Source organism: Homo sapiens, chromosome 4 (assembly GCF_000001405.40).
Source record: "Homo sapiens chromosome 4, GRCh38.p14 Primary Assembly".
In the NCBI taxonomy this organism is placed as follows: domain Eukaryota; kingdom Metazoa; phylum Chordata; class Mammalia; order Primates; family Hominidae; genus Homo; species Homo sapiens.
Window position 1 is genome coordinate 5,580,197 of NC_000004.12, and position 26,788 is coordinate 5,606,984.

Below are 26,788 nucleotides of genomic sequence, written 5' to 3' on the forward strand. Positions count from 1 at the left end.
ACAGAATGAGCAAATTGCAGAATGCAAGTCTAATATCTGGAACAAAACAACAGGCTTGTCTTCATTTCAAATGCAAACTCAAATAAGAGTGTATCATATGCATTGCCTTAACACTCATTTAAGAATACGGCATCATCTGATTTATCAGCTGTTCCCCACTCAGGACACATTAACTCTCTGTTCTAAACAAACTAGAGGTAGGAGTTACTCAAAAGAGTTTTAGGATAAAATCGAAAATGTAAGTGTTGTACTCTCCAATTATTATACTAATAGAAATCAGTGTGGTCTCAAGTAAACAGCACAACTATGTGTTTTAGGGCTGTACTGAGGGTGTTTCTTGGGCACTTAGGATGAGCAGATGAATCATGCACTGGAGGCTAAATGTTCCTGGTGTCTCACTCTGCCCCTAACTCACTAAATGACCTTGGACCTGCTCTTCCCTCTGCAGGCTCTATTAGGGCAGTGATCCGCCTCCACGCTAATCACCTCCAGTGTAACACTTGCTGTGGGCTTTGGCTAAGTACTCTGTGGAGGTTTCCTCCTGTTATTAATTTGCTACGGAGTTTTATCTTGAATGGGTGTTAAATTCAATTAAAGACTGAATTTGTCATGTTGAATTGTAATCCCCAGTGTTGGAGGTGAGGCCTGCTGGAAGGTGACTGGATCATGGGGGTGGATCCTTCATGAATGGTTTAGTGCCATCCCTTTGGTGTTGATCTTATGATAGTGAGTGAGTTGTAGTGAGATCTGGTTGTTTAAAACTGTGTAGCACCTCCTCCATTCTCTCTTCCTTTTGCTCCAGCCAAGTAAGATGTGCCTCTTTTCCCTCTGCCTTCTGCCATAATTGTAAGTTTCCTGAGGTTTCCACAGAAGCTGAGCAGATGCATCATGCTTCCTGTACAGCCTGCAGAATCATGAGCCAATTAAACCTCCTTTCCTTACAAATTAGCTAGTCTCAGGTATTTCTTTATAGCAATGTGAGAACAGACTAATACAGAAAATTGGTACTGAGGAGTGGACATTTCTACAACAATACTTGAAAATGTGAAAGCAGCCTTGGAATTCGGTAACCAAAGGAGATTGGAAGAGTGTGGAGGGCTCAGAAGAAGACACAAAGATGAGGGAAAGTTTGGAACTTCCTAGAGACTTGTTACATTGTTGTGACCAAAATGCTGATTGTGATATGGACAATGAATTCTAGGCTGAGGAGGTCTCAGATGGAGATGAGGAACTCATTGGGAACTGCAGTAAAGGTCACTTTTGCCATGCTTTAGCAAACAGACTGGTGGCATTGTGCCCCTACTCTAGAGATCTGTGGAATTTTTAATTTGAGAGTGATGATTTAGGGTATCTGCTGGAAGAAATATCTAAGCAGCAAAGCATTCAAGATGTAACCTGGCTGCTTCTAACAACCTATGTTCATATGTGTGAGCAAAGAAATGACCTGAAACTGGACCTTATATTTAAAAGGGAAGCTGAGTGTAAAAGTGTGGAAAATTTGCAGCCCACCATAGCCAAGAGAATGGGAAACAGAAGGGTTTTCAGAGAACTTCACGGCAGCCCTTTAATCACAGTCCCAGAGGCCTAGGAGGGAAGAATGGTTTCCTGGGCCAGGCCCAGTGCCCCACTGCCCTGTGCAGCCTTGGGACCCTGCTCCCTGCATCCAGCCTCAGCTCAAAGGACCCCAGGTGCAGCTTGGACCACTGCTCAGAAGATGCAAACTGTAAGCCTTGGCAGCTTCCATGTGGTGTTAAGCCTGCAGGTGCACAGAATGAAAGAGTTGGGTCTTGGGAGCCTCCGCCTAGATTTCAGAGGATATATGGAAAAGTCACAATGTCCAGGCAGAAGCCTTCTGCTGGGGCAGAGCCCTCATGGAGAACCTCTGCTAGGGCAGTGTGGAGGGGAAATGTGGGGTTGGAGCCCCCACACAGAGTCCCCATTGAGACACTGCCTAGTGGAGCTGTGATAAGGGGGCTGCTATCCTCTAGATTCTGGAATGATAGATCCACTGACAGCTTGTATCCTGTGCCTAGAAATATTGCAGGCACTCAACACCAGCCCTTGAGAGCAGCTGTTGGGGCTAAATCCTCCAAAGTCACAGGGGCTGAGCTGCCCAAGGCTTTGGGAGCCCATCCCTTGGACCAGCATGTTCTGAATATGAGACATGGAGTCAAAGGAGATTGTTTTGGAGCTTTAAGATTTGATGACTACCATCCTGCATTTCAGACTTGCCTGGGGCCTATAGCCCCTTTCTTTTGGCCAATTTCTCCTTTTTGGAACAGGAATATTTACCCAGTGCCTATAACTCCATTGCATCACTGGAAGTAACTAACTTGTTTTTTAATTTATAGGCTCATAGGTGGAATGGACTTATAATTGTCTCAGATGAGACTTTGGACTTTGGACTTTTGAGTTAATGCTGGAATGAGTTAAGACTCTAGGGGACTGTTGGGAAGGCATGATTATATTTTGAAATGTGAGAAGAACATGGTATTTGGGTGGGACTACATCTCATGTTGAATTGTAATCCCCAATGTTGCAGGTGGAGCTTGGTGGGAGGTGACTGGATCACGGGGGTCCTTCATGAATTGTTCAGCACGATCCCTTCGGTGCTGTTCTCGTGATGGAGTTATTATGAGATCTGGTTGTTTAAAAGTGTGTGGCACCTCCCCCTACTTCTCTTCCTCCTGCTCTGGCTATGTAAGACATGCCTGCTTCCCCTTCACCTTCTACCATGATTGTAAGTTTCCTGAGTCCTCCCCAGAAGCTGGGCAGATGCATCAGGCTTCCTGTATAGCCTGTGGAACCATGAGCCAATTAAACCTCTTTCCTTTATAAATTACCCAGTCTCAGGGTATTTCTTATAGCAATGCAAGAACAGACTAATATAAAGACATATTCTCTATATACTAAAATGATCACATGAGTCACTCCCCTTTAATTTGTTAATCAGGTGAATTTTGTAAATGGATGTTTTAATGTTAAACCAACCTTATATTTCTAGAATAAACCCAACCTGTCCATAATGTATTAATTTTTTATAGATGGCTGTATTCTGCTATTTTGTTTTCAAATGGTACATCTATGTTCACATGCAAGATTGAAGTATAATTGTTCTTTCTGGTACTGTTCATGTCTGGTTTTGGTGTTAAAGTTATCTAGCATGATAAAATGAGTTGAGGAATATTGCCTATTTTTCTAATACAAGGAATAATTCATATATGAGACTGGCAAAATACCTTAAACTTTGGCAATGCTCATCTACGAAACTACTGGAGTTGGGTGTCTTTTGTGTGGTTTGGAAGATTTTAAAGTACTGAATCAATTTCTTTCATGGCAAGAGGGTTATCAGACTTTTTTTTTCTACTTGAGCCAATTTTGGTGATTTGCATTTTTCTAGTTTTTGAATTCATTTCAGTTTTTGAATTCATCTGTATAAAGTTGTTCATAACATTCTCTTATTTTAAAAAACTCTACTGCATCTATAGTCGTGTTGCTTTTTATACTCTTAATATTATTGTCTTTTATATTTTTTAATGGTTGCTCTTGCCAAGGGTTTGTATATTTTATTAGACTTTTTTCAAAAAAAAATCTCTTCACTTTATCAATTCTATGGTAGTTTTGTTTTTTATTTTGTTTATGCTGTACTTCAGAAGAAACACAGTTTTTTTTTTTTTGAGACGGAGTCTTGCTCTGTCTCACCCAGGCTGGAGTGTAGTGGCATGATCTCAGCTCCCTGCAGCCTCCATCTCCTGGGTTCAAGCGATTCTCCTGCCTTAATAAGTATAACTAAGTAAAGAATTATTAACACTGAAGTGAGAGCATGTCTATTTACAACTTAGTAGCGCTTCCCTCCCCATACTAGGGTTTCAATAAATGTGAGGGGTTTTTTCCTTATTATAAGTAATTATGATAATAATAGATAACAAATGAAATTCTAAAATCTACACATAAAAGACCTAAAATTAGTCACCAAAACAGTTATTACCATAGCTTTTGTTTTACGGATATACCTCTCACATTTTGGAAAGAATGTAGCATGTTGCGATAATGCTAATAATTAGAATTTTTTAAATAATAAATAACCCAGTACACTGTTGCATTTAGGATGCTGCTAATAGGAAGATACACTGTTGTCCTCCCTAGCACAATGAAAGAAACAATACTGCCAATGAACCCATGGCACCTGCCAAGTTTCAGAGATGTTAAAATCCAAAAGGGTTGCTTCTCAGAGCAATGAAATAGAGCCATCTTTGGTTGAGAGAGTGCCAAGTACTCTCCAATATGTCACTTCGTTTAATCCTCACCACAACCCCACAGCACAGACAGGACGGGGGTTGCAGCCTGTTTCATAGAGGAAGATGCAGAGGTAGGTACCAGAAAGACCCAGCTCTGTCCCCCTCTCCTTCCCAGCGCCTGCACTCACCCGGCTGTGCGACTCCAGGATCTGTGTGCAGGCCGACTTGGTCAGCATCTCAGATGCACTCAGCTCTTCCAGGAGCAAGTCCTGGATGCTGAGGAGGGCGGTGTAGGCCGACAGAGTCTCGGTCACCCGGGACGCCTTCTGGAACTGCAGAGCAACAAGCGACTGTGCAAAGCCTCCCTCCTGTGCCTCCATCCGCTGCACTCTCTCCCGCAGCAATTCACCTCGAACCTGGGAGGGGACAGGGATGGACCCAAACCCAGAGAGCAGTGAGTAGAGGAGGGTGGAGGAGAACAAACAGCCTTTCAGAGTTCACAGACCTGGGATTCTGAGGACCACCAAAAGTTTACAATGGAGACGCACTGGGAACCTGCAGGGAGCAACATCAGAAAAGGCTGTCCCTGCGTATGAAGACGCCAGGGGCTTGGGGAGCCCAGCCATCCTTCATTCCATATGTATCATCCTCAAGAGTCACCTGAGCCCATTGCTCTCCTTCTGAAAACACTTCTAAGTCTCTCCATGTCCTAGAGGATGGAAGTTCAACTCCTGAGCATGGGATCCAAGGAGCTCCCCACCCCAATCCCAGCCAAGGTTCCCCTGGACAGGTCTGGTCTGTTCTTCTGCCCCTACCCCACTCACACATGCACAACTGGGAATGCCCTTCCCAGCTGTGCGCTGTGCTCTACACACCATGCGCTTTGTGTCTGTGGTTTGTGCTCTTTGCAGTGATTGAAATGTCCTCCCATTCTCCCTTCCTGAAATTCTACTATTTGTCTTTTGGGTCTATAGTTTCCACGGAAGCGGTCTCACTTCTCTATGTTTGTTTTGTTCCATGTAGGCTTCAAACCAGGTGCCCAGGGTTTACTTGACCTCAGGCAAATCATTAAGCTCTGCATGCCTACGCTTCTTCATCTATAAAGTGGAGAAAATAATTCCATCCAACACACAGAGTTTAGTTTGTTTTTTTAACAAAACAGCTTAATTGAGGTATAACTTCTTTATAATAACCTGCACATATTTACAGTACACAATGTGATAAACTTTGACATGTTTCTACCCCTATGAAACCATCGCCACAACCAGGGTAGTGAACACATCCATGTTCTTGGTAATCCCACCCCCTGCCCCCCACTTAGCAACCACTGATGTGCTTTCAGCTACAATTGACAAGTCTGCATTTTCTAGAGTTTTTTTTTATAAGTGGAGTCATACGGTACATATTTTTTTATCTAGCTGTTGTATTTTATTTTATTTTATTTTTAGACACAGTCTCGCTCTGTCACCCAAGCTGGAGTGCAGTGGTGCAATCTTGGCTCACTGCAACCTCCACCTCCTGGGTTCAAGTGATTTTCCTGCCTCAGCCTTCTGAGTAGCTGGGATTACAGGCATGCACCACCACACCCAGCTAATTTTTGTAATTTTAGTAGAGATGGGGTTTCACCATGTTGCCCAGGCTGGTCTCGAACGCCTGGCCTCAAGTGATCTACCCACCTCAGCCTCCCAAAGTGCTGGGATTACAGGCGTGAACCACCATGCCCGACCTGTCTAGCTGTTTTGACTGAAAATACTTATTTTGAGATTTACCTTTTACCATCTTCTTCTGGGTTGAGGATCTCTTATGCTTCCCCCTTCCCTCCCTTTGTTGCTTTATTAGCTATAGCTCTGTTTTGTTATTTTAGTGGCTGCTTTAGGGTTTATAGTACACATCTTTGACTTATCCCAGGGTACCTTCAATTGATATTATATCACTTCACATGGAGTACAAGAACCAAAAATAAAATTCTAAGCCCCCCCTCAACCATCTGAATGGACCACTCCTCTCAGCAAGGGGATTCCAAAGTCAACCTGAAAAACCAGTTCAGGCCATGAAGGGAAGGGGGAGCTGAACATGCCTCCTTATACCCTCCTTCCTTTTGGAATTTCAGATAGAACAGACTCTTTAAGTCTCATAAGAAACATTTACAATCGATTCTCTCTGAAGCCTGCTACCTGGAGGCTTCATCTGCATCATAAAACCTTGGTCTCCACAACCCCCTTAGTGTAACCCAGATGTTCCTTTCTATTGACAATAACTCTTTCAACCAACTGCCAATCAGAAAATCTTTTCATCGAATTATGATCTGGAAGCCCCCACTTCAAGTTGTCCCACTTTTCTGGACCAAACCAATGTACATCTTACATGTATTGATTGATGTCTCATGCCTCCCGAAAATGTATAAAATCAAGCTGTGCCCCAACCACCTTGGGCACATGTCATCAAGACCTCCTCAGGCTGTGTCATGGGTGTGTCCTTAACCTTGGCAAAATAAATTTTCTAAACTGATTGAGATCTGTCTCAGATACTTTTGGCTTACACACATTATGCTAATTTACTCCCATTTCTTGCTTCCTGGTCTTTGTGCTTTTTCTGTCACACATTTAATTGTACATACGTTAAAAACGTCACACTCCTTTGTTACTATTTTCATTGAAATAAGTCAATCTTTAAAATTTTCTATTGAAGTGAAATGCACATAACATAAAATTCACTAAAGTCAACAATTAAGTGACATTTAGGATTCAGTAGCCCCCACCTCTATTTAGTCTGAGAACATTTTCACCACCCCTAAAGCAAAAGCAAACCCCACACCTCTTAAGCAATTATTCCCCAGTCCTCCCACCCCCAAGTCCTTGGCAACTACCAATCTTCTGTTTCTATGATTTTCCTTATTCCGGATATTTCATACAAATGGAACTACAGAAGAACAACCTTTTGTGTCTGGCTTCTTTTACTTCGCATAATGTTTTCAAAGTTCATCTACTTGTTGTATCAAAACTTCATTTCCTTTTTATGGCTGCATCATATTCCATTGGATGGACAATCAGTCAATTTTTGGAAGATTTTTAAAATTAAAAGAGAATCTAACGTAAGTACCCATGTAGTTACCATTCCCATTGCTCATTTTTTTGTGTGGTTCTGTAGCGGGAAGAGCCGCAGACAAAACCCCTCAGACACCGAGTTAAAGAAGGAAGGGGTTTATTTGGCCAGGAGCATAGACAAGACTCCTGTCTCAAGAGCTGAGCTCCCCGAGTGAGCAATTCCTGTCCCTTTTAAGGGCTCACAACTCTAAGGGGGTCCATGTGAGAGGGTCGTGATTGAGCAAGCAGGGGTACGTGACTGGGGGCTGCATACACTGGTAATTAGAAAGGAACCGAACAGGACAGGGATCTTCACAGTGCCTTTTTTATGCAAATAACCAATTAGATCAGGGGTCAATCTTTAACTACCAGGCCCAGGGTGTGGCGCCGGGCTGTCTGCTTGTGGATTTCATTTCTGCCTTTTAGTTTTTACTTCTTCTTTCTTTGGAGGCAGAAATTGGGCATAAGACAATATGAGGGGTGGTCTCCTCCCTGAGTTCTAGATTTCTATCTGTTATGAAAATCCTTCTGCCTGATTTCCTATAACATTTCTTGGAGTATGAATCTCCTAGTAAGGAAAACTTTCAGCATTGTAAGTCTAAAAAAATTTATTTCACCTTCATTCTTGAAAGATATACTTTCTGAATAAAGAATTTTAGGTGGCAGTTTTCCTCATTGTTTTGAAGACATTGCTCCATGTTCTTCTCACTTGCATTATTTGAAATGAGAAATCGGCTGTCAACCTGCTCTTTGCTTTGTAGGGTACATAATGTATCTTCTTCCTTCAGTTGCTTTGAAGATTTTCTCTTTATCAATGGTTTGGAGCAATTTGATTATGATGCACCTTAGAAAAATTTTCCTCAAGTTTCTTATGCTTGGGATACACTGAGCTTCTTAAATCTGTGAGTTTATAGTTGTCATCAAATTAGGCAAAATTTTAGCCGTTAATTCTTCCAATATGTTTTCATCCTTCTTTTTCTCTCTCCTCTTCTCCAGGAATTCCAATTACCCACACATTAGGCCGCCTGAAGTTGTCTCATGGCTCACTTTTCTCTGTTTTCATTTTAGATAGTTTCTATTGCTATATCTTCAAGCTAACTAATTTTTTTCTGCAATGTCTAATCTGCTGTTAATTCTCACACACATGTGTATGTGTGTGTGTGTATATTCAAATCAAACTTCTAGAGAACAAAAATATGTGTGGTATAGATGTAAATATAGACATATAGATATATCTTTTTACATCTTCCATATCTATACTTAACCTTTTTTGAACATATTAAACAAAATTATAATGACTGTTTTACCCCATTTATGCTGGAGGTTGCCATTTTTTGTGTGTGAAAAATCAGAACTTGGTGATGCCCTTGAGCAGTACAATATAAATAACTCCCACAAGCTTAGCATTCCAATAATGGAACACTAGGCATAAATGCCATTCTCTGTCAATTCTAACATCTGTGTCAGTTCTGGATTGGTTTCAATTGATTGATTTTTCTCCTCATGAGGAGTTATATTTTCCTATTTGTCTCATGCCTGGTACTTTTTAACTGAACTACAGACAATGTAAATTCTACCTTGTTGGGTCCTAGATATTTTTGTGTTTCTATAATTATTGAGCTTTGTTCTGAGATGCAGTTAAGCTACTTGGAAACAGGCTAACCTTTTGGGTTATGTTTTTAAGCTCTTTTATGTGGGACTAGCATAGGGCTCATTATTTCCATTGCCGAGGCAAGACCTTTTTGAGTACTATATTTGATGTCCTCTGAATTGAGGCTTTCTAGTTTGGGTGGAAGGAACTGTCACTATCCCCAACCTGGTGTAAATGCTGAGTATTCTTCTAAGTATTTTGGGTGGTCTTTCCCCTAGCTTTGAGCAATTTTCTTCCATGGAAGTGCTGCGCAGGTCTCAGCAGAATACTCAAGAGGACCCAGTAGACACCTCTGGAGTTTTCTCTGTGCAGCTCTTTCTTTTCTGGGATTCTGTCCTGTGAAATCTATCTGACTTGGCTTCCCCAAATTCTTAGCTTTGTCTCTTTTACTCAAAGGGTCTACCCTAGTAGACCTGCTGGGTTCCTTCTTGCTGTGCCTCAGCCTGGAAACCCTTTTAGGGCAGTAACCTGGGACAATGACGGGGTGAATTCCTTTATTTTTTATTTCTTAGGGATCAGTTTTGTCTGCTGTCCAGTGTCCTGAAAATCACTGTTCCATAGATTTTGTTTGTTTTGTTTTAGGTAAGGAGTAATTCTGATACTTTTTATTCTGTCTTGGTCACAAGCAGAAGTCCCTCATAGGGTTATTCTGATTATTAATAATCTAATACTGTTAAGTGCTCAGAACAGTGCCTGACACATTGGAGTGTTTAACAAATATTGCCGTTGTTAATACTCTTATTACCTAAGGTGGAATATGGTGGGTTCCATAAGGGAGGTCTGTATATGGTGCTATGTGGTTTAGAGAAAAGAGAAGGTGGAGGGGTCAGGGAAAGTCATGACAATATTGGCATTTGAAGCAGATACTGAAGGATCCAGGCATTCAGGAAGAGGAACAGCATGACCAGAGGCACTGAGGCAGGGGGCCCTACAGAGACTTGTGAGGCTGAATTAGATAAAAGCTAAGAGGGAAAGTGGGAGATGAAGCCGTAAAGGTGTGGGGGAGAAGAACCCATACTGCAGAGGCCCTGAACTGTCAGGGACAAGAAGGCAGAGCTTCCCCTCAGACAATGAGAAGGGCAAGAGAGCTGGATGTCCCTGAACAGGAAAAAGTTGAGTGATGGGCAAGGCATGGCAAGAATTGGTAAGAGGTGATCAATAAAAATAAAATTCTAAGCCCCTAACTGACTGAATGGGCCTCCTGTTGGCCAAGGAGACCCCAGAAAAACCTTGGAAGTTGAGTTCCCAGCCATAATGGGATGGGAGGTTAGACACACCTTGCTACACTCCCTCCCTCACTAACCATCATTAGGTTTTCTTCCCTGAGCGCTAAACAGAAACCAGCTCTTCCAAAAGACTCCACCCCAATATCAACCAACTGCCTGACACTGCCCCTCCTTTTTGCTGTTTTGACAAAGCAACCAACCAGCATTCCTTCCGGATAATACACACTGACCACAGAGTGGTTCAGGACAGTCTATGGAGGATGCTCAGTGAGGGTTTTAGTGTCCTCTTCTTCACATTCTGATGTCAGAAGGTAGAAAACACCACCCTTAGATCATGCTAGCACCACCATTTTTTTGTACATGAGACCTGTATTAGTCCATATTTATGCTGCTATAAAGAACTGCCTAAGAGTGAGTAATTTATAAAGAAAAGAAATTTAATTGCCTCCCCAGCCCTCAGGAAACTTATAGTCATGGCAGAAGGGGAAGCAAACACATCCTTCTTCACATGGCAGCAGCAAGAAGTGCCAAGCAAAAGGGGGAAAAGCCCCTTACAAAACCATCAGATCTCATGAGAACTCACTCACTATCACGAGAACAGCATGAGGGTAACTGCCCCCATGATTAAGTTACCTCTCACTAGGTCCTTCCAATGACACACATGGGGATTATGTAAACTACAATTCAAGATGAGATTGGGTGGAGACACAGGACCCATGAAGGGGCATGAAGCTCAATGACACTTGTGCATGTTTCTCGTTTCATAAATATTCATGACTCCTCCTATAGCTTATTAAATATATATATTAAGCCACCCTATTTAGCATAAATTCCTGTTTCCTTTGCCCCTTTCTCTAAGTGCCTGTTTTCAGCTTCTAACCAGAGGCTATGCTTCCTAGCCCGTCAGAAGGGCCACCCTGCAGGCTACAACCCATTATGAGAAATAAAGGTCTCCTTCCCAAATTTATGAACATCATCATGCTTCAGCTGACAGAAGTCTTCCTTATTACATGCCTGCCATGCGCTAGGGTTTTCACGTTATCCTTGTGTGGTCTCCATCTTCCCCTCTTGGGTGGGTGGGTGGTGGTCCAAGTGTCCCATAAGACCCAGACCCCTGCAGAGGTGCAGAGCAGAGGGCAGAATGAGAAGGCCGTAAGGAAAAGCTAAAGATTTATTTATGTAAATGCATGAATAAATGTGGGTGAAGTGTAAAGCCTTTTGTATATACTGTATGAACAACATGGACAGTGAAATTAAAAAGAAAAAAAAACCTTCTCCAAAATTCTTTTTTCTTCTTTGGAAAGCTTAGTTTGTTAGTTCCAGCACCATGAGAATGTGTCTCTAGAGAGGGTTTTAATCCTTTGTCTAGAAGAAATCCTGGGAAACAACACAGATTTGCATTTCTATGAGGTATTAATGACAGGCTTCATTAAATATTCAAGCCACTGAGAATAATACAAATTCATTTGCAAAATGATATGCTGCTAAATACTCTTTAAACGAGAAGTTCAAACAACTTCTTACTACTTTTCCCTGACAACATGTGGATTTCAAACAAAAAGTTTTTTCTATGCATTATAATGTCCTTTAAACATATAATAAAGTCTACCTGTGTCAACCAGCAGAGAGTTATTGGGATTCTAAAGGGTTTAATAAATCACACCTCTCCTTGCCCAAGTTTGGAAACAAATACAACTAGATGCAAGGGTGAGCTAGCTAGGTGCCTAATGTCAGCTTTCATATTGATGAAAACTAGACTGGAGAATGTGGCTCACATCTGTATCCAAACAAATTCACAATCCCCCAAGAGCAGGCCTCCTTACCAAATTCATCACTTAAAAAACAGATAAGAGGGGCTTCCTACAGGAATGCTGGCTCCCAGAGAGAAGGGGGCTGAGCTGAACCTGTCCCATTCCTTCTTTAATCACAAATGCCCTCCTTGGAGAAAAGTGGGCCAAGGGATGGAGAATCTAGCGGTGCCACTAGCAACAACCTCCAGTGGCAAAAGAGGCATTGAGAGAGGTCTTATTGTTACAGTAGGTAACTAGTCAGATGTGAGCAGGGCAGGAGAGAGCCCCGCCAAATACCAGGAATGTCAGGTGGCCATCAGGTGATGGTCAAGTGGTTGTTAACTGCCTCTTTAAAATAATAATTGGTTGCAGCTGGTGCCAGGGAACAGCAGTCTCCCAACAGATAGTAAAGACTTGAAATTGGTGATCAGCAGCTTCCCGATAAGAACTCAGGAGTTGGGCAAGTGGGCTCGCACATGTGCATTAAGAGGCAAAATGGCAGAGTATAACTAGTATATCATCTTCTAGGAACATTCTACTGGTAAGGAAGAAAGCCTCAAGTGAGCATGTGCACAACTTCTGTAAAAACACTGCATATGTGGCTCCTCCCAAGTGCTGGCAGGTCACTGTGCATGTGAACAGCCCGCCCCAAGGGAAGAAACACGGGAGAAGGGATGTGATATGGTTTGGCTGTGTCCCCACCCAAATCACATCTTGAATTGTAGTTCTCATAATCCCCACCTGTCATAGGAGGTAACTGAATCATGGGGGTGATTACCTCCATGCTGTTCTCCTGAGAGTGAGTTCTCATGAGATCTGATGGTTTTTTAAGGGATTTTTCTCCCTCTTTGCTCTGCAATTCTCCTTGCTGCTGCCATGTGAAGAAGTATATGTTTGCTTCCCACTTCTGCCATGATTGTAAGTTTCTTGAGGTCTCCCCAGCCCTGCAGAACCGTGAATCAATTAAACCTCTTTCCATTATAAATCACCCAGTCTCGGGTATGTCCTTATAGTAGTGTGAGAATGGACTAATACAGGATGCAACCTTCCAGAAGTACGCCACTGTATAAAAGCTCAAGTCAAAAGTTAAGCTGTGCAGTTGGTCTCTCCAGTCACCTGCCTGCCCTTCTTTCAAGTGTGCGTTACTTCCTTTTCTTCCTGCTCTAAAGCTTTTCAATAAACATTTACTCCTGTTTGAAAACTTGCCTCAGTTTCTTTGTCTTATGCTCCTTGGTTAAATTCTTTCTTCTTAGGAGGTGAGAATTAAAGGTGCCACAGATTCGTACAGATTTGCTGCTGGTAACATTATCAAGAAACTTGCACCCAAACATTGGGAGAATAAGGCTAAAGAAACGCTGCTGAAATATAAATGTGCATTTGAAGATTCCCATTCTAGGGGGTGGAGCAAAGATGGCCGAATAGGAACAGCTCCGGTCTACAGCTCCCAGCGTGAGCGACGCACAAGATGGGTGATTTCTGCATTTCCATCTGAGGTACCGGGATCATCTCACTAGGGAGTGCCAGACACTGGGCGCAGGACAGTGGGTACAGTGCACCGTGCGTGAGCCAAAGCAGGGAGAGGCATTGCCTCACTCGGGAAGCACAAGGGGTCAGGGAGTTCCCTTTCCTAGTCAAAGAAAGGGGTGACAGATGGCACCTGGAAAATTGGGTCACTCCCACCCTAACACTGCGCTTTTCCGAAGGGCTTAAAAAACGACGCACCAGGAGATTATATCCCCCACCTGGCTTGGAGGGTCCTACACCCATGGAGTCTCGCTGATTGCTAGCACGGCAGTCTGACATTGAACTGCAAGGCGGCAGCGAGGCTGGGGGAGGGGTGCCCGCCATTGCCCAGGCTTGCTTAGGTAAACAAAGCAGCCCGGAAGCTCAAACTGGGTGGAGCCCACCACAGCTCAAGCAGGCCTGCCTGCCTCTGTAGGCTCCACCTCTGGGGGCAGGGCACAGACAAACAAAAAGACAGCAGTAACCTCTGCAGACTTAAATGTCCCTGTCTGACAGCTTTGAAGAGACCAGTGGTTCTCCCAGCACGCAGCTGGAGATCTGAGAACGGGCAGACTGCTTCCTCAAGTGGGTGCCTGACCCCTGACCCCCGAGCAGCCTAACTGGGAGGCACCTCCCAGTAGGGGCAGACTGACACCTCACACGGCCGGGTACTCCTCTGAGACAAAACTTCCAGAGGAACGATCAGACAGCAGCATTCGCGGTTCATGAAAATCCGCTGTTCTGCAGCCACCGCTGCTGGTACCCAGGTAAACAGCGTCTGGAGTGGACCTCTAGCAAACTCCAACAGACCTGCAGCTGAGGGTCTTGTCTGTTAGAAGGAAAACTAACAAACAGAAAGGACACCCACACCAAAAACCCATCTGTACATCACCATCATCAAAGACCAAAAGTAAATAAAACCACAAAGATGGGGAAAAAACAGAGCAGAAAAACGAAACTCTAAAAGCAGAGCGCCTCTCCTCCTCCAAAGGAACGCAGCTCCTCACCAGCAACGGAACAAAGCTGGAGGGAGAATGACTTGGACGAGTTGAGAGAAGAAGGCTTCAGACGATCAAACTACTCCAAGCTACGGGAGGAAATTCAAACTGAAGGCAAAGAAGTTGAAAACTTTGAAAAAAATTTAGGCGAATGTATAACTAGAATAACCAATAGAGAAGTGCTCAAAGGAGCTGATGGAGCTGAAAACCAAGGCTAGAGAACTACGAGAAGAATGCAGAAGCCTCCGGAGCCGATGCGATCAACTGGAAGAAAGGCTATCAGTGACGGAAGATGAAATGAATGAAATAAAGCAAGAAGGGAAGTTTAGAGAAAAAAGAATAAAAAGAAACGAACAAAGCCTCCAAGAAATATGGGACTATGTGAAAAGACCAAATGTACGTCTGATTGGTGTACGTGAACATGACGGGGAGAATGGAAACAAGTTGGAAAACACTCTGAAGGATATTATCCAGGAGAACTTCCCCAATCTAGCAAGGCAGGCCAACATTCAGATTCAGGAAATACAGAGAATGCCACAAAGATACTCCTCGAGAAGAGCAACTCCAAGACACATAATTGTCAGATTCACCAAAGTTGAAATGAAGGAAAAAATGTTAAGGGCAGCCAGAGAGAAAGGTCGGGTTACCCTCAAAGGGAAGCCCATCAGACTAACAGCTGATCGCTAGGCAGAAACTCTACAAGCCAGAAGAGAGTGGGGGCCAATATTCAACATTCTTAAAGAAAAGAATTTTCAACCCAGAATTTCATATCCCGCCAAACTAAGCTTCATAAGTGAAGGACAAATAAAATACTTTACAGACAAGCAAATGCTGAGAGATTTTGTCACCACCAGGCCTGCCCTAAAAGAGCTCCTGAAGGAAGCGCTAAACATGGAAAGGAACAACTGGTACCAGCCACTGCAAAATCAAGCCAAATTGTAAAGACCATTGAGGCTAGGAAGAAACTGCATCAACTAACGAGCAAAATAACCAGCTAACATCATCATGACAGGATCAAATTCACACATAACAATATTAACTTTAAATGTAAATGGACTAAATACTCCAATTAAAAGACACAGACTGGCAAATTGGATAAAGAGTCAAGACCCATCTGTGTGCTGTATTCAGGAAACCCATCTCACATGCAGAGACACACATAGGCTCAAAATAAAAGGATGGAGAAAGAGCTACCAAGCAAATGGAAAACAAAAAAAGGCAGGGGTTGCAATCCTAGTCTCTGATAAAACAGAATTTAAACCAACAAAGATCAAAAGAGACAAAGAAGGCCATCACATAATGGTAAAGGGATCAACTCGACAAGAAGAGCTAACTATCCTAAATATATATGCACCCAATACTGGAGCACCCAGATTCATAAAGCAAGTCCTCAGTGACCTACAAAGAGACTTAGACTCCCACACAATAACAATGGGAGACTTTAACACCCCACTGTCAACATTAGACATATCAACAAGACAGAAAGTTAACAAGGATACCCAGGAACTGAACTCAGCTCTGCACCAAGCGGACCTAACAGACATCTACAGAACTCTCCACCCCAAATCAACAGAATATACATTTTTCTCAGCACCACACCACACCTGTTCCAAAATTGACCACATAGTTGGAAGTAAAGCTCTCCTCAGCAAATATAAAAGATCAGACATTATAACAAACTGTCTCTGAGACCACGGTGCAATCAAACTAGAACTCAGGATTAAGAAATTCACTCAAAACCGCTCAACTACAGGGAAACTGAACAACCTGCTCCTGAATGACTACTGGGTACATAACAAAATGAAGGCAGAAATAAAGATGTTCTTTGAAACCAACGAGAACAAAGACACAACATACCAGAATCTCTGGGATGCATTCAAAGCAGTGTGTAGAGGGAAACTTATAGCACTAAACGCCCACAAGAGAAAGCAGGAAAGATCCAAAATTGACACCCTAACATCACAATTAAAAGAACTACAGAAGTAAGAGCAAACACATTCAAAAGCTAGCAGAAGGCAAGAAGTAACTAAAATCAGAGCAGAACTGAAGGAAATAGAGACACAAAAAACCCTTCAAAAAATCAATGAATCCAAGGTTTTCTGAAAGGATCAACAAAACTGATAGACCGCTAGCAAGACTAATAAAGAAGAAAAGAGAGAAGAATCAAATACACGCAATAAAAAATGATAAAGGGGATATCACCACCGATCCCATAGAAATACAAACTACCATCAGAGAATACTACAAACACCTCTACGCAAATAAACTAGAAAATCTAGAAGAAATGGATAAATTCCTCAACACATTCACCCTCCCAAGACTAAACCAGGAAGAAGCTGAAATCTCGGAATAGACTAATAACAGGCTCTGAAACTGTGGCAATAATCAATAGCTTACCAACCAAAAAGAGTCCAGGACCAGACGGATTCACAGCCGAATTCTACCAGAGGTAGAAGGAGGAACTGGTACCATTCCTTTCTGAAACTATTCCAATCAATAGAAAAAGAGGGAATCCTCCCTAACTCATTTTATGAGGCCAGCATCATCCTGATACCAAAGCCGGGCAGAGACACAACCAAAAAAGAGAATTTTAGACCAATATCCTTGATGAACATTGATGCAAAAATCCTCAGTAAAATACAGGCAAACCAAAGCCAGCAGCACATCAAAAAGCTTATCCACCATGATCAAGTGGGCTTCATCCCTGGGATGGAAGGCTGGTTCAATATATGCAAATCAATAAATGTAATCCAGCATATAAACAGAACCAAAGACAAAAACCACATGATTATCTCAATAGATGCAGAAAAGGCCTTTGACAAAATTCAACAACCCTTCATGCTAAAAACTCTCAATAAATTAGGTATTGATGGGACATATCTCAAAATAATAAGAGCTATCTATGACAAACCCACAGCCAATATCACACTGAATGGGCAAAAACTGGAAACATTCCCTTTGAAAACTGGCACAAGACAGGGATGCCCTCTCTCACCACTCCTATTCAACATACTGTTGGAAGTTCTGGCCAGGGCAATTAGGCAGGAGAAGGAAATAAAGGGTATTCAATTAGGAAAAGAGGAAGTCAAATTGTCCCTGTTTGCAGACGACATGATTGTATATCTAGAAAACCCCACTGTCTCAGCCCAAAATCTCCTTAAGCTGATAAGCAACTTCAGCAAAGTCTCAGGATACAAAATCAATGTACAAAAATCACAAGCATTCTTATACACCAACAACAGACAAACAGAGAGCCAAATCATGAGTGAACTCCCATTCACTATTGCTTCAAAGAGAATAAAATACCTAGGAATCCAACTTACAAGGGATGTGAAGGACCTCTTCAAGGAGAACTACAAACCACTGCTCAAGGAAATAAAAGAGGATACAAAGAAATGGAAGAACATTCCATGCTCATGGGTAGGAAGAATCAATATCATGAAAATGGCCATACTGCCCAAGGTAATTTATAGATTCAATGCCATCCCCATCCAGCTACCAATGACTTTCTTCACAGAATTGGAAAAAACTAATTTAAAGTTCATATGGAACCAAAAAAGAGCCCGCATCGCCAAGTCAATCCTAAGCCAAAAGAACAAAGCTGGAGGCATCATGCTACCTGACTTCAAACTATACTACAAGGCTACAGTAACCAAAACAGCATGGTACTGGTACCAAAACAGAGATATAGATCAATGGAACAGAACAGAGCCCTCAGAAATAATGCCGCATATCTACAACTATCTGATCTTTGACAAACCTGAGAAAAACAAGCAATGGGGAAAGGATTCCCTATTTAATAAATGGTGCTGGGAAAACTGGCTAGTCATATGGAAAAAGCTGAAACTGGATCCCTTTCTTACACCTTATACAAAAATCAATTCAAGATGGATTAAAGACTTAAACGTTAGACCTAAAATCATAAAAACCCTAGAAGAAAACCTAGGCATTACCATTCAGGACATAGGCATGGGCAAGGACTTCATGTCTAAAACACCAAAAGCAATGGCAACAAAAGCCAAAATTGACAAATGGGATCTCATTAAACTAAAGAGCTTCTGCACAACAAAAGAAACTACCACCAGAGTGAACAGGCAACCTACAAAATGGGAGAAAATTTTTGCAACCTACTCATCAGACAAAAGGCTAATATCCAGAATCTACAATGAACTCAAACAAATTTACAAGAAAAAAAACAAACAACCCCATCAAAAAGTGGGCGAAGGACATGAACAGACATTTCTCAAAAGAAGACATTTATGCAGCCAAAAGACACATGAAAAAATGCTCACCATCACTGGCCATCAGAGAAATGCAAATCAAAACCAAAATGAGATACCATCTCACACCAGTTAGAATGGCAATCATTAAAAAGTCAGGAAACAATAGGTGCTGGAGAGGATGTGGAGAAATAGGAACACTTTTACACTGTTGGTGGGACTGTAAACTAGTTCAACCATTGTGCAAGTCAGTGTGGCGATTCCTCAGGGATCTAGAACTAGAAATACCATTTGACCAGGCCATCCCATTACTGGGTATATACCCAAAGGTCTATAAATCATGCTGCTATAAAGACACATGCACACGTATGTTGATTGTGGCACTATTCACAATAGCAAAGACTTGGAACCAACCCAAATGGCCAACAATGATAGACTGGATTAAGAAAATGTGGCACATATACACCATGGAATACTATGCAGCCATAAAAAATGATGAGTTCATGTCATTTGTAGGGACATGGATGAAATTGGAAATCATCATTCTCAGTAAACTATCGCAAGAACAAAAAACCAAACACCGTATATTCTCACTCACAGGTGGGAATTGAACAATGAGAACACATGGACACAGGAAGGGGAACATCACACTCTGGGGACTGATGTGGGGTGGGCAGAGGGGGGAGGGATAGCTTTAGGAGATATACCTAATGCGAAATGACGAGTTAATGGGTGCAGCACACCAGCATGGCACATGTATACATATGTAACTAACCTGCACATTGTGCACATGTACCCTAAAACTTAAAGCATAATAAAATAAAATAAAAGAAGATTCCCATTCTAGCGGCTGGTCCTGTTAAAAATCAGGTTAGTCTAATCCATGTTCTGCTGAATGGGTTCAAGATACCCAGAGCAGGTAAAAAGATGGGAAATGTTTAAAACTCCCTGTGGCATATTGTATCAGGAGGAAAGTAGATTCACTGATGGTCCATTGGGTTAATATTTGTCAAATGAAATACTATTTTGCTAAATAAGCTTCATTAGTGCTTAAATTTTAGACACAGACAAATTAATTTATATGCCTAGAAAGATACTTCTACCACCCCTATCATCTACATTATCAAAGTGCAAATTCCCCAAAGAAATGAGGGGCATCCCTTCACATCACTTGGCATAGTTTTGCTTTGTTGTATTTTAAGGTTGATCTATTATCTCTTACATACAAACTTACCACTTAACTAGCTGTGTGACCAAGGCAAGTTGCTTAACCTGTCTGAGTCTCAGTTTTTCCAGTGAAAAGGAAATAGTACCTGGTGCCTACGGAGTACCTACTGAACAGTAGCTGTCATCATCATTACCACTTTATTATTTTCACTATTTCACATCATTATTAAATAGGATTAAATCCTATTTCACATCATTATTACATAGGATTTCTTTCAAGTTGCACAAAACAGATAAAAATAATGGTTTGCCATATTGAGCGTTTCCCCCTATTTTAAAGAGGTTTCTTCATTTCTAATGATAAAGTACATGCACAATATAAAAAAAATCTTTACAGTGGAGATGCCTAGTGAAGAATAGTGAATTTTTAAGATGCAGCCAGTGCTTTCTTTAAGGCAGTGGGTAAATATGGGGGAAATGAGAGAGGAAACAACAGTGATACAATTTTGAAAGTTAGAAACTGGATGACTGATTGGGAAAGAACTATATAGATCCCAAAAAACTGAATCCTAAGTAAGCCATGGAGTAAGCAAGAAGCAACATAATTTAAACTGCAGATCTACCTTCCCAAGTCACAGAAAATGTAGTCATCAGACACATCTAGAAGTGGGAGGTAAAAGATGGAGCTAAAACAGAAGAAAAGGATAAACATCTCATTAGGAAACAGGCTCCCAGAATTCCCCCCACCCATCCTTTGCTCAGCAGGCCACTCTCTTCCCTACAACCAGCAGATGACTGGAGATTTAGTCTCAGGAAAAGTCTCTGAATTTAGGGAAGGAAACTCAGGCACATCTGAAAACACAGGGTCCTAGTGAAAGTTTACATACTGACTACTAAAACCCCAGCTCTCTTCCTGCATTTGGCTTCCCAAATGTTGGGCAGCCATGCCTTTACCATCTAGACAAAAGACTTGGAGCGGTCTTTTTTGGGGGATTCAACTAGCCTTGATGAAAGATCTAAAGATACTCACACTGGGGATTCCCCTACAGAGTGCGCAGCCCAGCCACCAGACTGAAGGCCACAGTCTACGGGCCCTGGCTATAGGCTCAGAGCCTTATTATCCCACTCTTAAATATCATCAGACCACCAAAGATGACCACATACCTGGGAAAGCCTGTAATGAACATGGAGGTAAGAGTGAACATGCAGGAATTTAAAAAAAAAATCTTTAATATTCTTAGAAAGATATAACAAGTTATAGCAGCCTCAAAACAATAAGAGAATGTTTTTTCTTTAGGAAGACAGCATTGGGATGGTGGAGGAAGATGCTCTTGAAGAATTAGAAATTGATTGAAAACATAAATGAAAAACTCAATTAAAGGCTTATAAGATAAAACTTAGGCTATCTCCCAGCAAGTGAAGCAAAAAGACAAATAGTAAAAAAAAGGAAAAAAAAAAAAACAATGGACGAGAGGTCAACACTGGAATCCCGAGAGTTCTAGAAAGACAAATTAGAGAATAGGAGATGTAATCATTAATAAAATTCAGGAAAATTTCCCAGACTTCTAGATTGGTCAAACTATCAGTTGAGTATGAGGGCAGAATAGAAACATTTTCAGTCTTAGAAAAATCTGAAAAATTCCAAAATATTCAGTTTCCTATGTGCCCTTTCCCAGGAAACTAATAAAAGATGTGTTTCACTAACAACAACGATAAAACCAGGAAAGAGAGGAGTGAAGGGAATTCACAGTGTGACCCCAAGATGGCAGCTGTGCATGAGGCACAGAGGTCAGTTTCCAACTGGAGCACATCAGAGGCAGAGAGTGAGATGTACCCTGAAAGATGGGATTAACAGAAGATGTGACATGTGTGATGGTCCTGATAGTGTATTTGGTCTACCATCAAGAAGAGGATTAATAAAGCTGGGCATGGTGGCTCATGCCTATAATCCCTGCACTTTGGGAGGGCAAGGCAGAAGAAATGCTTGAGGCCAAGAGTTCAAGACCAGCCTGGGCAATGTAGTGAGAAACCTGTCCCTATAAAAAATTTTAAAATAAAAAATTTTAAAAATTAGTAGGGTAGTGCATGCCTGTAATCCCAGCTACCTTGGAGGCTGACGCAGAAGAATCACTTGTACCACCCTGGAGTTCAAGGTTACAGTGAGCTATGACTGTGCCACTGCACTCAACCCTGAGCTACAGAGCAAGACATTGCCTCTTAAAAAAAAAAAAAAAAAAAAAAAGTAAAAAGAAGTGGATTAAATTGATGATAAATACATAGAAAAGTAACTAAAAAGGAAACTAAAGAACAATATTAACTCCAGGAAAACCAAAAAGTTATAAAGTAGAGAAAAAGGATTCCAGTTTTCTACAAGATTCAACTGTGAATAATAATTAAGTGCTTATAATCATAGAAACCATAAATACTGATCTAACTATGGTGGGGGATGAGGAAAGAGCTGATAAGTGGTCCAGGTTTAGAGAAGAAAGAGAGTAAAATAGTTTCCTAAGGAAACTAAAGAACAATATTAACTCCAGGAAAAACAAAAAGTTATACAGTAAAGAAAAAGGATTCTAGTTTCCCACAAGATTCAACTGTAGGTAACATTTACATGCTTATAATCATAGAAGCCATAAATACTGACCTAAATATGGTGGGGGATAATGAAAGGGCTGATTTGTGGTACAGGTTGAGTGAAGAGAGTAAAATAGAGTAAATCCTCATCTTTTATAAAGGAAATAGATAGGAAAAGGAAATAGATAATCCCAAATTACAGAAATCAAGAAGTAGCAAAGCAAGCATGCTATTTAGAGTTATGGAGGTAAGCACCAAAAGACCAAGCTAAACAGTTAGAAGCTGTTAACTCTGGGGAGCTGAAAATGTGTGTGTGTGTGCATGGCTGGGGGAAGCTGCTCTTCTTTCAGCAGAAGCCTTGTAGAATTATTTGACTGTTTAAAAGAAGGCATGCGTATGTTTGATAAAAATGAAAAGTAAAATTTAAAAATAGACAATCTAGAAAAGTGGGAGAAAAGTTACTAAATTAAAACCATCCAAAGATAGCCAGGGTAACCTTTTGGCATGTGAAAGGTCCAAACTGGATAGATTAGAAAGGTAAGATGAAGTCTGACCATGAGGCCTTGAATGCCAAGCTCAGGAATCTGAATTTTATTGGGGTCAGTGGGAAGCTATGGAATGTCTCTCAAAATGGTGCTTCAGGGAGATGAATTTGACAGAGGCTGCCTCAAGGGATAAGACGGGGCAAGGGGAGATGTGAGGATAACTGTCTGCAGACTTTCCCAATCTTTATGGATGGATGGATTTTTCTCTTCCCTTCCTAAATGGATTCCCTTTCAACATGCCTTCTTTTCTGAGCTCTTTAAGGACTATCAGGGTTCTCTCTTGTCAGGTCACTGAAAAGCAGCACATTATTCTGATGCTTAAACTCTAGTCCCTTCTGAAGTCAGAGAGAGTGAAGGACCATTCCTGACAAGAACCAACTACCCCTGCATAATTGCCAAGGCAGCTGCAGAAACAGAATAGGATGCACCGTCGCTGGCAATCAGGAGTTCCACTTCTGAATGAAGGCATTTCTAGTGAATGGTGCATGCACGACACATCATGAAATCTGGAAACAGTGAATGAATAGTGGATGGGTGAAGAGATACATGGTAGATGTGCCATGCAGACAGAGAGCAAGATCATTATAATAAGACCAGAAATAACGGGTGAAGAGGAAATATGGTTATGTCATTTTCATTTATAATTAAGTGTTCCTAAAGACTATTTGTGAGAAATTTGTGTATACGCTGTTCAAAAACAGCACAAGAATCACACCAAAGAGGAACTGAAATGTCCTTTCATTTCTGCATCCATCAAATGGATCTGCTAGCCGAATGCAGGGATGGACATGGAGAGGCCTGTGCTTTAGGCTCTGTTCTACCATGTACCAGCTTTGTGACCTTGGATAAGCCTCTCACTCTTTCTGAGACTCAGTATTCTCATCTGTGAAATGGAGATAGTAATAGTTGCTCTGCCTGCTTCACTACAGAGGGGTGTAGGATACATGCAGAGGGTCTAGGATTGTTTAAAATATCAAGGGGTTGAAAACAACCTAAATATCCAGTAGTTGAGGGCGGATGAAATCACTTAAGGCTCACATATACAGTGAAATGCTATGCCGCTGTGAAAAGTAACAAGGGAACTCTCATATATTGATATCAAAAATCTTCAAGTTTCAGATAAAGCAAAAAGCAGAAATAGATAAGTAGATAAGCAGTTGACTCTTGAATAACACGGGTTTGAATTGCCTGTTTCCACTCACACGTGGATTTGCTTTCAATTAAAGTTACGTCAGTGTTAAGTGAAATAAGGCAGCCACAGAAAGACAAACATCACATGTTCATACTCATATACGTGAGCAAAAAGAACGGATCTCATGGAGGTAGAGGGTGGAAGGATAGTTACCACAGGTGGGGAAGGTTGTGGGGGAGACAAAAGAGGCTGGTTAATGAGGACAAACATACAGTTAGATAGAAGAAATAAGACATAGTGTTCAACAGCAGATTAGGGTGACTATAGTTAATAACAAAGTATTTTCTATTTCAAAATAACAAGAAGGGAGGACTTAAATGTTCCCAACACACAGAAATGATAAATACATGGAGTGATAGATATCCTAAATACCCTGACTTGACCATTATACATCCTATGTATGTAACAAAATATTACCATGCATCCCATAAATATGTACCAATATTGTATCAGTTAAAATATTTTAAGTTACACTGAGGGTGCCTGCGTTTCCTGCCTCCCCTTCCACCTCCTTCAACTCTTCCACCTCTGCTACCCCCGAGACAGCAAGACCAATCCTTCCTCTTACTCCTCCTCCTCCTCAGCCTATTCAATGTGAAGATGATGAGGATGAAGACCTTTATGATGATCCACTTCCACTTAATGAACAGTAAATATACTTTCTCTTCCTCATGATTTTCTTAAAAACATTTTCTTTTCCCTAGCTTACTTTCTTACACATATTTAATAACATACAAAATATTACTCAACTGTTTATGTTATTTGTAAGGCTTCTGTCAACAGTAGGCTATTAGGATAATGGCATATTTGGGGGGAGTCAGATGTTACACACGAGTTCTACTCATGCACATCACGCGCAGGACTTAGCCGAAGACTTGAGGATGCCCTGCAGATCTCTGGAGTGTGCTCTGTCTCTTTCTGTTGGAGCTACCTTGTCTTTGGGAACTCTGCTCTACAAATCATAGACACAGTAGCCTCTGAAATCTTGATTTTTGTTTGTTTAATGTGGTGAGCCTGCTGGGCTCCACCCGTGATGTGTGAGGGGTCAGCACCCCAACCCCCATGTTGTTCAAGGGTCAGATAGACAGATGACAGATAGATAGATGGATGGATGGATGGATAGATAAGATAGATAGATAGATGTGGACAGACAGATCTATTTCCAATCATTGGTAAGTAAAACATGAACCACATAATTTGTGCTGTGTCTCCAATCTACTTTGTGGAATCGCTCAGATGTTGAAGCAAGAGAAAGAAGGCACATTATCTGTCCTGCCCAGGAACTCAGCAAAGAAGGGCTTGGCCAGGAGGCATTTTGAGTGACAGCCTTACAGTCCAACAGATCTGACAAACTTGCCCCAAGCTGAGGAGACTGGCTTGAGGCCAGTGCAGGTGGCCAGAATGTCCCTGCACCGAGTGGACACTGCACTGGGGAGGGTGGCGGGACTGACCCAACTGAGCATCACTTACAGCAACTTTGACATCTCCCCCTCAGGTCAACCGTATCCTTGCTGTGGCATGAGACCTTCCTGTGCCACGGGGACCTGTAGGTTCACAGAAGCCAATCCCCTTCCTGACGGGACTGCTGTAACTTTCAGCACAGGCTGACATGCAGAAGGAAAGGACTAGGTCAAACTAAGATGAGGCCCAAACCCCCTAAGCCAACCACAGCAGAGGTTAGGAGAGGAGGACGGACCAATAGAGACCTCCTCACTGGTACTCCCCACCAAATATTCTCTACAAAATGCCTAAATCTTGTTGATTTTACTTCAAAACATCTGAGCTGCTAAGTGCAGCCTTGCAGACCTCATGACCCGGCTCCCACCCACCTCTTAATACTCCCTTTTCCATACTCAGCGGAAAACACCCAGCCTTTTTGAGAACAAATCTTTTAAAGCAGACCTACTGTAAAGCCACAAGGTAAGCCTCAATACATTCCAAAGAATCTTCATACATACTTTGATCTCTAAGATGCAATGAAATTAGAAATCAATAATAAATCAATAACACTTTTGGCGGAATCCACAGAAGGGCATCACCTTGGTAGTGGGAGTAAATTAGTCTTGATTAAACGCAGCTGTTAACCCAAGCCAACAGAGCTTAAAAGCAAGTCTTCAAAGGATAAAACTGATTCCAGGTAATTCAACTACTTGTCAGAGCTCTAACCCTATTAAAGAGAACACAATGAAATCCAGTACCCAACACATGAAATTTACAATGCCCAGCATCCAATCTAAAATTACCAAGCATGCAAAAAAGCAGGAATATAAGATCCATAAACCAGAGAAAACCCAATCAATAGAAATGAGAGAGACGGTGGAACAAGCAGATAAGGACATTGAAACAGCAATTAGAAAAAGAAACGAGGTGTAAGAATTGGGAGGCTACAAAGTTGTAATCATTTGTTGACATTATGACTGCATAAAACATTAATGGAATCAACAGATAAATCCTAGGAGGTAGGCGCTTCTATTATCCACACTTGAATGATGAGTACGTTAAGGTGGAGAAAGGTTAAATAACTTGCTCAAGGTCACACAGCTAGAACATGGCAGAGCTCAGACTCTGGAGCCAGCAGTCTGGCTCCCAGGATAGCATACA

The 26,788-nt window shown here is 41.7% G+C and overlaps 1 protein-coding gene across 7 annotated transcripts in view, besides 3 other annotated features; it reads right to left on the minus strand.

Annotated features, from left to right (window-relative positions):
• EVC2 (EvC ciliary complex subunit 2) overlaps positions 1-26,788 on the minus strand; it is a 180,538-nt gene that overhangs the window by 51,186 nt on the left and 102,564 nt on the right. For all 7 annotated transcript variants that reach the window (XM_047449611.1, NM_001166136.2, XM_017007736.2 and 4 more), the window contains one exon: positions 4,427-4,654. In XM_047449611.1, the coding sequence (XP_047305567.1) occupies positions 4,427-4,654 (228 nt within the window). The remainder of the gene's footprint in view (positions 1-4,426; positions 4,655-26,788) is intronic.
• Positions 12,072-12,604: an enhancer, noted in NCBI's record as "OCT4-NANOG hESC enhancer chr4:5593995-5594527 (GRCh37/hg19 assembly coordinates)". NCBI's record gives its function as "activates a minimal SCP1, AML or CMV promoter by ChIP-STARR-seq in naive and primed H9 embryonic stem cells {active_cell/tissue: H9 hESC(naive and primed)}" and the evidence as "EXISTENCE:reporter gene assay evidence [ECO:0000049][PMID:30033119]".
• Positions 13,394-13,895: an enhancer, noted in NCBI's record as "H3K4me1 hESC enhancer chr4:5595317-5595818 (GRCh37/hg19 assembly coordinates)". NCBI's record gives its function as "activates a minimal SCP1, AML or CMV promoter by ChIP-STARR-seq in primed H9 embryonic stem cells {active_cell/tissue: H9 hESC(primed)}" and the evidence as "EXISTENCE:reporter gene assay evidence [ECO:0000049][PMID:30033119]".
• Positions 13,896-14,395: an enhancer, noted in NCBI's record as "H3K4me1 hESC enhancer chr4:5595819-5596318 (GRCh37/hg19 assembly coordinates)". NCBI's record gives its function as "activates a minimal SCP1, AML or CMV promoter by ChIP-STARR-seq in primed H9 embryonic stem cells {active_cell/tissue: H9 hESC(primed)}" and the evidence as "EXISTENCE:reporter gene assay evidence [ECO:0000049][PMID:30033119]".